Source organism: Homo sapiens, chromosome 10 (assembly GCF_000001405.40).
Source record: "Homo sapiens chromosome 10, GRCh38.p14 Primary Assembly".
Taxonomy (NCBI): domain Eukaryota; kingdom Metazoa; phylum Chordata; class Mammalia; order Primates; family Hominidae; genus Homo; species Homo sapiens.
The window spans coordinates 84641284-84652930 of NC_000010.11; the positions used below are offsets into that span (position 1 = coordinate 84641284).

Genomic DNA, 11647 nt, shown 5'->3' on the forward strand with positions numbered 1-11647 from the left:
ACATTAAGGCCCTCTTCAAGGAGAACGACAAACCACCACTCAAGGAAATAAGAGAGGACATGAACAAATGGAAAAACATTCCATGCTCATGGATAGGAAGAATCACTATCATGAAAATGGCCATACTGCCCAAAGTAATTTATAGATTCAATGCTATTCCCATCAAGCTACCATTGACTTCCTTTGCAGAATTAGAAAAACTACTTTAAATTTCATATGGAACCAAAAAAAAAAGAAAAGAAAAACCAGCCTGTATAGCCAAGACAATCTTAAGGAAAAAGAACAAAGCTGGGGGCATCAGGCTACCTGACTTCAAACTGTACTACAAGGCCATGGTAATTAAACAACATAGTACTGGTACCAAAACAGATATATAGACCAATGGAAAAGAACAGAGACCTCAGAAATAACACCACACATCTATGACCATCTGATCTTCGACAAACCTGACTAAAACAAGCAAAGGGGAAAGGATTCCCTATTTAATAAATGGTGTTGGGAAAACCGGCTAGCCATATGCAGAAAACTGAAACTAGACCCCTTCCTTACACCTTATAGAAAAATTAACCCAAGATGGATTAAAGACTTAAATATAAAATGCAAAACCATAAAAACCCTAGAAGGAAACCTAGGCAATACCATTCAGGACATAGGTATGGGCAAAGCATTCATGACTAAAATACCAAAAGCAATTGCAACAAAAGTCAAAATTGACAAATGGGATCTAATCAAACTAAAGAGCTTCTGCACAGCAAAAGAAACTATTATCAGAGTGAACAGGCAACCTTCAGAATGGGAGGAAATATTTGCAATCTACCCATCTGACAAAGGTCTAATATCCCAAATCTACAAGGAACTTAAACAAATTTACAGGAAAACAAATGAACAACCCTATCAAAAAGTGAGTGAAGGATATGAACAGACACTTTTCAAAAGAAGACATTTATGTGGCCAACAAACAAGAAAAAAAGCTCATCATCACTGGTCATTAGAGAAATGTAAATCAAAACCACAATGAGATATCATCTCACACCAGTTAGAATGACGATTATTAAAAAGTCAGGAAACAACAGATGCTGGTGAGGCTGTGGAGAAATAGGAATGCTTTTACACTATTGGTGGGAGTGTAAATTAGTTCAACCATTGTGGAAGACAGTGTGACGATTCCTCAAGGATCTAGAACTAGAAATACCATTTGACCCAGCAATCCCATTACTGGGTATATACCCAAAGGATTATAAATCATTCTACTCTAAAGACACATGCACACGTATGTTTACTGTAGCACTATTCATAATACCAAAAACTTGGAACCAACTCAAATGCCCATCAATGATAGACTGGATAAAGAAAATGTGGCACATGTACACCATGGAATCCTATGCAGCCTTAAAAAAGAATGAGTTCATCTCGTTTGCAGGTACATGGATGAAGCTGAAAGCCATCATTCTCAGCAAACTAACACAGGAACAGAAATCAAAACACCACATGTTCTCACTCATAAGTGGGAGTTGAACAATGCGAACATATAGACACAGAGAGGGGAACATCACACACCGGGGCCTGTTGTGGGGTGGGGCAAGGGGAGGAAGAGCATTATGACAAATACCTAATGCACATGGGGCTTAAAATCTGGATGATTGGTTGATAGGTGCAGCAAACCACCATGGCACACGTATACCTATGCAACAAACCGGCACGTTCTGCACATGTATCCCAGAGCTTAAAGTGAAAAAAAAAAATCAAAACACATTACCTTCCAATTGATAGCTGGGATGCTAGAAATTTACTAACAGAATTGCAGCAAAAAATTTTCATAATAGATTCAGAAACAGATCAGAAATAGATTCAGCAACAGTGTGATTCTTCTATGTGGTTCTGCAGGCTTTTGTAAGTAGCTTTTTGACTATGAAGGCCATAAACCCAAATATTGACATAAACTGAATTTAGGACCTGACTTATGGAATAGTACCTGATAGATTTTTTTTTTTTTTTTTTTTTTTTTTTTTTGAGACAGAGTCTCTCTCTATTGCCAGGCTGGAGTGCAGTGGCACGATCTCGGCTCACTGGAACCTCCACCTCCTGGGTTCAAGCGATTCTCCTTCCCCAGCCTCCTGAGTAGCTGGGAGTACAGGTGTGTGCCACCAAGTCCAGCTAATTTTTGTATATTTAGTAGAGATGGGGTTTCACCATGTTGGCCAGGATGGTCTCGATCTCTTGACCTCGTGATCTGCCCACCTCGGCCTTCCAAAGTGCTGGGATTACAGGCGTGAGCCACTGTGCCCGGCTGCCAGATAGATTTTTTTTTAAAACAATGAAAGATGTTCAAACCCTTGTCTTCTTTCTCAAGGCTGTTTTCTTCAAATGCAGGGTCATGTGGAACACTGATGTACACAAGATGGACAGTCCAAAATTGGTCTTCTCAGCATCTTTTATGGCCACTCTTGAGACAGTTTGAAACCCACTACTTTTCAGCCTTATTGATTTATTTTTCATTTTTTCTTTTAAAGACTGTAAGTAGTATAGAATTTAACACAGTGTAAAATAGATTTTAAGAGTCCCCTTTATTACCAACAGATTTTGCTTCATTATATTTAATGCTATATTACTTGGCATGTAAACCTTTTTCTGTTAGTATTAGAATGTCATGGTAGAATGCACCTTTACCAAATGTAAAATAATCCCATTTGTTCAGTTTACTATTTTTTTTTTTGTCGATTTGGAATTTACATTTGGAATTTATGTTGGAATAAAAGTGGAGGCATTATGTTGCAATGGACACCGTGCTTCTACTTTTGTTGTCTGATTTACCCTTGTCCAATATTTTAACTTTTTGTATTACTTTGTTTTAGATTCTTAAAAATGACTTGTAGCTGCACTTTCATTCTGGTGCTCATTTAGGAGTCTTTTTGTTTTAAGATGGTAATTTAACTGATTTACAGTTATTGTCAACTTGTGTGTTCAATCTCATTTTTTTATCCTGTTTTTTTCTTTGTTGAAAACCTACCAATAACTTCTGCTCAGAGTTCTTCACTATGTGTAGAGTCTTACTTAATTGTAAAATTTCCCCTGTAGTGATTTACCTATTATACAACTTGTTTGGAATCCTACAAATAAATATATTTAATTAAAACACCTCATTATGGTGTATTTTAATTATTGGCATAAAATAAAATATTTCTATTTTTATCTCAACTTTGGCATGAGGAAAAACACATTTACTTTCCTTTAAGGTTCATGTTTTCTTAAAAAATAATTGATTAAGATGGTTATTGTTACTTTTGCTAATTTTAATCTTCTGTTTTAGAATATATTTCAGCATTTTTTAGACCATATTTACAGCAAATATTTAGACGTATTTATACTTATGGAATTTCATTGCTCACTACCAATTTTTTTTATATCTTAGCTTCTCTATTTTTGAATTTCTTCATTTCTTTTCTATTTAGACAGGCTCCAATGCATTTAAAACAAGTCTTTTGCCAAAGATACACCAGTCATCTAGTTGTACTTGAAAGGAAAAGCCTGAGTTTGGCTTGATATTTTATTTCTTTTCTTTCATGCCATCAGTTTTTCCCTGCCTCCATGTTTACAGATTTTTTTTTCATTCTTGTAATTTTGAAGGTCACCAGGTTATAGTTATTCTTTTTCACTAATTATCTTTTGTAATTGCAGAAAAACTTTAATCTGAGATCTCAGAAGGTATTGCTTCTGTTCAGAAAGGTTTTCTTTTATTCTGTCTCTAATAATTGTTTATTTTCAAAGCATTACAGTTCCTTTCAGGTGCATTGCTTCTGTCTATGTGGCTCTTCATTCCATAGCATCTACAATTTTCAACTCTCTATTTCTTTTCTCTGCACTAAGGAAATTAATTCAAATGAGAAACTAAAGCATATATTTAAAAGAGTTTCTTTTTAAAAAAATTTAGAATGTATTTTGGAGGACAAGTGTAGTTTTGTTACATGGATATATTGCATAGTGGTAAAGTCTGGGCTTTTAGTGTAGCCATAGCCTGAAGAGTGTACGTTGCAACTATTTTTTTTTTTTTTTTGCATTGACCTGGAGATTTTTAAAATTTTTTTTAAATTTATTTATTTATTTATTTACTTATTTTATTATTATTATACTTTAAGTTCTGGGATGCATGTGCAGAATGTGCAGGTTTGTTACATAGGTATACATGTGCCATGGTGATTTGCTGCACCCATCAACCCGTCATCTACGTTAGGTATTTCTCTAATGCTATCCCTTCCCCTTGCCCCACACCCCCCGACAGGTCCCAGTGTGTGATGTTCTCCTCCCTGTCTCCATATGTTCTCATTGTTCAGCTCCCACTTATGAGTGAGAACATGTGGTGTTTTGATTTCTGTTCCTGTGTTAGTTTGCTGAGAATGATGGCTTCCAGCTTCATCCATGTACCTGCAAACGAGATGAACTCATTTTTTTTTATGGCTGCATAGGATTCCATGGTGTATATGTGCCACATTTTCTTTATCCAGTCTATCATTGATGGGCATTTGGGTTGTCTAAGTCTTTGGTATTGTGAATAGTGCTACAGTAAACATACATGTGCATGTGACTTTAGAGTAGAATGATTTATAATCCTTTGGGTATATACCCAGTAATGGGATTGCTGGGTCAAATGGTATTTCTAGTTCTAGATCCTTGAGGAATCGTCACACTGTCTTCCACAATGGTTGAACTAATTTACACTCCCACCAATAGTGTAAAAGCATTCCTATTTCTCCACAGCCTCACCAGCATCTGTTGTTTCCTGACTTTTTAATAATCGCCATTCTAACTGGTGTGAGATGGTATCTCATTGTGGTTTTGATTTACATTTCTCTAATGACAGTGATGATGAGCTTTTTTCATATGTTTGTTGGCCACATAAATGTCTTCTTTTGCAAAGTGTCTGTTCATATCCTTCACCCACTTTTTGATGGGGTTGTTTGTTTTCTTGTCAATTTGTTTACATTCATTGTGGATTCTGGATATCAGTCCTTTGTCAGATGGATAGATGGCAAAAATTTTCTCCCATTCTGAAGGTTGCCTGTTCACTCTGATGATCGTTTCTTTTGTTGTGCAGAAGCTCTTTAGTTTGATTAGATCCCATTTGTCAATTTTGACTTTTGTTGCAATTGCTTTTGATGGTTTAGTCATGAAGTCTTTGCCCATGCTTATATCCTGAATGGTATTGCCTAGGTTTCCTTCTAGGGTTTTTATGGTTTTGCATTTTACACTTAAGTCTTTAATCCATCTTGAGTTAATTTTTCTATAAGGTGTAAGGAAGGGGTCCAGTTTCAGTTTTCTGCATATGGCTAGCTGGTTTTCCCAACACCATTTATTATATAGGGAATCCTTTCCCCATTGCTTGTTTCAGTCAGGTTTGTCAAAGATCAAATGGTTGTAGATGTGTGGTGTTATTTCTCAGGCCTCTGTTCTGTTCCACTGGTCTATATTTCTGTTTTGTTACCAGTATCATGCTGTTTTGGTTACTGTAGCCTTGTAGTATAGTTTGAATTCAGGTAGCATGATGCCTCCAGCTTTGTTCTTTTTGCTTAAGATTGTCTTGGCTATACGGGCTGTTTTTTTGGTTCTGTATGAAATTTAAAGTAGTTTGTTTTCTAATTCTGTGAAGAAAGTCAATGGTAGCTTGATGGGAATAGCATTGAATCTATAAATTACATTGGGCAGTATGGCCATTTTCACAACATTAATTCTTTCTATCCATGAGCATGGAATGTTTTTCCATTTGTTTGTGTTGCCTCTTATTTTGTTGAGCAGTGGTTTGTCATTCTCCTTGAAGAGGGCCTTAATGTCCCTTGTAAGTTGTATTCCTTGATTAATTCTTTCTATCCATGAGCATGGAATGTTTCTCCATTTGTTCGTGTCCTCTCTTATTTCCTTGAGTGGTGGTTTGTTGTTCTCCTTGAAGAGGGCCTTGATGTCCTTTGTAAGTTATATTCCTAGGTATTAATTCTTTCTATCCATGAGCATGGAATGTTTCTCCATTTGTTCATGTCCTCTCTTATTTCCTTGAGTGGTGGTTTGTCGTTCTCCTTGAAGTGGGCCTTAATGTCCCTTGTAAGTTGTATTCCTAGGTATTTTATTCTCTTTGTAGCAATTCTGAATTGGAGTTCACTCATGATTTGGCTTTCTGTTTGTCTATTATTGGTGTATAGGAATGCTTGTAATTTTCGTGCATTGATTTTTGTATCCGACTTTGCTGAAGTTGCTTATCAGCTTAAGGAGTTTTTCAGCTGAGGCGATGGGGTTTTGTAAATATACAGTCATGTTATCTGCAAAGAGAGATAATTTGACTTCCTTTCTTCCTATTTGAATACTCTTTATTTCTTTCTCTGGCCTGATTGCCCTGGCCAGAACTTTCAATACTATGTTGAATAGGAGTAGTGAGAGAGGGCATCCTTGTCTTGTGCCAGTTTTCAAAGGGAATGCTTTCAGCTTTTGTCCATTCAGTATGATATTGGCTGTGGGTTTGTCATAAATAGCTCTTACTATTTTGAGACACATTCCATCAATACCCAGTTTATTGAGTGTTTTTAGCATCAAGTGTTGTTTAATTTTATTGCAGGCATTTTCTGCATCTATTGAGATAATCATGTGGTTTTTGTCATTGGTTCTGTTTATGTGAGGGATTAAGTTTATTGATTTGCATATGTTGAACCAGCCCTGCATCCCAGGGATGAAGCCAACTTGTTTGTGGTGGATAAGCTTTTTAATGTGCTGCTGCATTAGGTTTGCCAGTATTTTATTGAGGATTTTTGCATCGATGTTCATCAGGGATAGTGGCATGAAATTTTCTTTTTTTGTTGTGTCTTTGCCAGGTTTTGGTATCAGGATAATGCTGGCCTCATACAATGAGTTAGGGAAGAGTTTCTCTTTTTCTATTGCTTCTAATAGTTGCAGAAGGAATGGTACCAGCTCCTCTTTTTACCTCTGGTAGAATTAGGCTATGAATCCGTGTGGTCCTGGGCTTTTTGTGGTTGGTAGGCTATTAATTACTACCTCAATTTCAGAACTTACTATTGGTCTATTCAGGGATTCGACATCTTCCTGGTTTAGTCTTGGGTGGGTGTCTGTGTCCAGGAATTTATCTGTTTCTTCTAGATTATTTTGTTTATTTGCGTAGAGGTGTTTATAGTATTCTTTGTTGGTAGTTTGTATTTCTGTGGGATCAGCGGTGATATCCCATATCCCCTTTATCATTTTTTTTACTGCGTTTATTTGATTCTTCTCTCTTTTCTTTTTTGTTATTCTGGCTGGTGGTCCATCTATTTTGTTAATATTTTCAAAAAATCAGCTCCTGGATTCATCGATTTTTTTCAAGGGTTTTTCATGTCTCTATCTCCTTCAGTTGTGCTCTGATCTTAGTTATTTCTTGTCTTCTGCTAGCTTTTGAATTTGTTTGCTCTTGCTTCTCTAGTTCTTTTAATTGTGATGTTAGGGTGTCAATTTTAGATCTTTCCCCCTTTCTCCTGAGGGCATTTAGTGCTATAAATATCCCTCTTAACACTGCTTTAGCTGTGTCCTAGAGATTCTGATATGTTGTGTATTTGTTCTCATTGGTTTCAAAGAGCTTACTTATTTTTGCCTTAATTTCGTTATTTAGCCAGTAGTCATTCAGTAGCAGGTTGTTCAGTTTCTATGTATTAGTGTGGTTTTAAGTGAGTTTCTTAATCCTGAGTTCTAATTTGATTGCAGTGTGGTCTGAGAGACTGTTTGTTATGATTTCCTTTCTTTTGCATTTGCTGAGGAGTGTTTTAGTTCCAATTATGTGGTCAATTTTAGGATACGTGCTATGTGGTGCTGAGAAGAATGTATATTCTGCTGATTTGGGGTGGAGAGTTCTGTAGATGTCTATTAGGTCCACTTGGTCCAGAGCTGAGTTCAAGTGTGAATATCCTTGTTAATTTTCTGTCTTGTTGATCTGTTTAATATTGACAGTGGGTGTTAATGTCTCCCACTATTATTGTGTGGGAGTCTAAGTCTCCTTGTAGGTCTCTAAGAACTTGCTTTATGAATCTGGGTGCTCCTGTGTTGGGTGCATATATATTTAGGATAATTAGCTCTTCTTGTTGCATTGATACTTTAGCATTATGTAATGCCCTTCTTTGTCCCTTTTCATCTTTGTTTGTTTAAAGTCTGTTTTATGAGAGACTAGGATTGCAACCCCTGGTTTTTTTTCTTTCCATTTGCTTGGTAAATATTCCTCCCTCTCTTTATTTTGAGCCTATGTATGTCTTTGCACACGAAACGGGTCTCCTGAATACAGCACACTGATGGGTCTTGACTCTTTATCCAATTTGCCAGTCTATGTCTTTTAATTGGGGCATTTAGTCCATTTACATTTAAGGTTAATATTGTTATATGTGAATTTCATCCTGCCATTATCATGCTAGCTGGTTATTTTGCCCGTTACTACATTCAGTTTCTTCATAGTATTGATGGCCTTTATAATTTTGCATGTTTTTGCTGTGACTGGTACAGGTTTTTCCTTTCCATGTTTAGTGCTTCCTTCAGCAGCTCTTGTAAGGATGGCCTGGTGGTGACAAAATCTCTCAGCATTTGCTTGTCTGTAAAGGATTGTATTTCTCCTTCTCTTATGAAGCTTAATTTGGCCGGATATGAAATTCTGGGTTGAAAATTCTTTTCTTTAAGAATGTTAAATATTGGCCCCTACTCTATTCTGGCTTATATGGTTTTTGCAGAGAGATCCACTGTTAGTCTGATGGGCTTCCCTTTGTGGGTAACCTGACCTTTCTCTCTGGCTGCCCTTAACATTTTTTCCTTCATTTCAACCTTGGTGAATCTGATGATTATGTGTCTTGTGGTTGCTCTTCTTGAGGAGTATCTTAGTGGTGTTCTCTGTATTTCCTGAATTTGAATGTTGGCCTGTCTTGCCAGGTTGGGGAAGTTCTCCTGGATAATATCCTGAAGTGTGTTTTCCAACTTGGTTCCATTCTCCCCATCACTTTCAGGTACACCAGTCAAATATATGTTGTTCTTTTCACATAGTTCCATATTTCTTGGGGGCTCTTTTCATTTGTTTTTCTCTAATGTTGTCTTCATGCTTTATTTCATTAAGTTGACCTTCAATCTCTGATATCCTTTCTTCTGCTTGATCGATTTGGCTATTGATACTTGTGTATGCTTCACAAAGTTCTTGTGCTGTGTTTTTCAGTTCCATTAGGTCATTTATGTTTTCTCCACTGGTGATTCTAGTTAGCAGTTCCTGTAACCTTTTATCAAGGTTCTTAAGCTTTCTTTCATTGGGTTAGAACATGCTTTTTTAGCTCAGAGCAGTTTGTTATTACCCACCTTCTGAGACCTACGTCTGTCAATTCATCAAACTCATTCTCTGTCCAGTTTTGTTCCCTTGCTGATGAGGAGTTGTGATCCTTTGGAGGAGAAGAGGCATTCTGGATTTTGGAATTTTCATCCTGTTTGCACTGTTTTCTTCCTGATCTTTGTGGATTTATCTACCTTTGGTCTTTGATGTTGGTGAACTTTGGATGGGTTTTTTTGCATGGTCATCTTTTTTATTGATGTTGATGCTATTCCTTTCTGTTTGTTAGTATTCCTTCTAACAGTCAGGTCCCTCTTCTGCAGGTCTGCTGGAGTTTGCTGGAGGTCTGCTCCAGACCCTGTTTGCCTGGGTATCACCAGCAGAGGCTGCAGAACAGCAAAATTGCTACCTGTTCCTTCCTCTGGAAGCTTTGTCCCAGAGGGGCACCCACCTGTTGCCAGTTGGAGCTTTCCTTTATGAGGTGTCTGTTGACCCCTGTTGGGAAGTGTCTCCCTGTCAGGAATCATGGTGGTCAGGGACCCACTTGAGGAGGCAGTCTGTCCCCTAGCAGAGCTCCAGTGCTGTGGTGGAAGATCCACTGCTCTCTTCAGAACTGGCAGGCCGGAACATTTAAGTCTGCTGAAGCTGTGCCCACAGCCACCCCTTCCCCCAGGTGCTCTGTCCCAGGGAGATGGGAGTTTTATCCATAAAGCCCTCACTGGGGCTGCTGCCTTTCTTCCAGAAATGCCCTGCTCAGAGAGGTGGAATCTAGAGAGGCAGTCTGGCTACAGTGGCTTTGGGGCACTGCTGTGGGCTCCACCCAGTCCAAACTTCCTGCCGGCTTTGTTACACTGTGAGGGGAAAATAGTCTACTCAAGCCTCAGTAATGGTGGATGCCCCTCCCCCCACCAAGCTGGAGCATTCCAGGTCGACATCAGACTGCTGTGCTGGCAGCCAGAATTTTTTTTTTTTTTTTTTTTTGAGACAGAGTCTGGCACTGTCGCCCAGGCTGGAGCGCAGTGGCACAATCTCGGCTCACTGCAAGCTCCACCCCCTGGGTTCATGCCACTCTCCTGCCTCAGCCTCCCAAGTAGCTAGGACTACAGGTGCCCACCACTACGCCTGGCTAATTTTTTGTATTTTTAGTAGAGACATGGTTTCACCATGTTAGCCAGAATGGTCTCGATCTCCTGACCTTGTGATTCGCCCGCCTTGGCCTCCCAAAGTGCTGGGATTACAGGCGTGAGCCATGGCAGCCAGAATTTGAAGCCAGTGGATCTTAGCTTGTTGGGCTCCATGGGGGTGGAATTCACTGAGCAAGACCACTGGGCTCCCTGGCTTCAGCCTCATTTGCAAGGGAGTGAATGATTCTGTTCCAGCCACCACTGGGGTATGAAAAAAAACTTGCAACTAGCTTGGTGTCTGCCCAAATGGCCACCCAGTTTTGTGCTTGAAACTCAAGGCCCTAGTGGTGTAGGCACCCAAGGGAATATCCTAGTCTGCTAGTTGCAAAGACAGTGGGAAAAGCATAGTATCTGGGCCGGATAGCACTGTCCCTCATTCATGGCTTCCCTTGGCTAGCAGAGGGAGTTCCCCGGCCCCTTGTACCCACTGTCTAACCAGTCCCAGTGAGATGAGATGGGTACCTCAGTTGGAAATGCAGAAACCACCTGCCTTCTGCGTTGGTCTCTCTGGGAGCTGCAGACTGGAGCTGTTCCTATTTGGCCATCTTGCCCAGGGAATCCCATTCCAACTATTAAGTAATATCTCATTCCTCACTTCCCTCCCACACTCTGCTTCTTCTGAATCTCCAGTGTCTATTATTCCACTTCCTATGTACACGTGTACACATTCTTTAGCTCCCACTTGTAAGTGAGAACATGTGGTGTTTGATTTTATGTTTCTGAGTTGTTTCACTTAAGATAATGGCCTCCATCCAGTTATGATGATGTTGCTGCAAAAGACATTATTTTATTCTTTTCTATGGCTGAGTAGTATTCCATGGTGTGTATGTATGTATGTATATATATATATATACACACACACACATATCAAATTTTCTTTATCCAATCATCCATTGATGAACACTTAGGTTTATTCCATGACTTTGCTATTGTGAAGAGTGTGACAATAAACACGCAGGTTTATTTTTAATATAATGATTTCTTTTCTTTTGGGTAGATACCCAGTAGTGGGGTTACTAGATTGAATGGTATCTTTATTTTCAGTTCTTTGAGAAATCTCCATACTCTTTTCCATAGAGGTTGTACTAATTTACATTCCCACCAACAGCATATGAGCATTCCCTTTTCTCCATATTATTGCCATTATCTTTTG

General features: G+C 38.6%; 1 annotated feature.

The window, feature by feature from the left end:
* Positions 9538-10057: an enhancer, noted in NCBI's record as "H3K27ac-H3K4me1 hESC enhancer chr10:86410577-86411096 (GRCh37/hg19 assembly coordinates)". NCBI's record gives its function as "activates a minimal SCP1, AML or CMV promoter by ChIP-STARR-seq in primed H9 embryonic stem cells {active_cell/tissue: H9 hESC(primed)}" and the evidence as "EXISTENCE:reporter gene assay evidence [ECO:0000049][PMID:30033119]".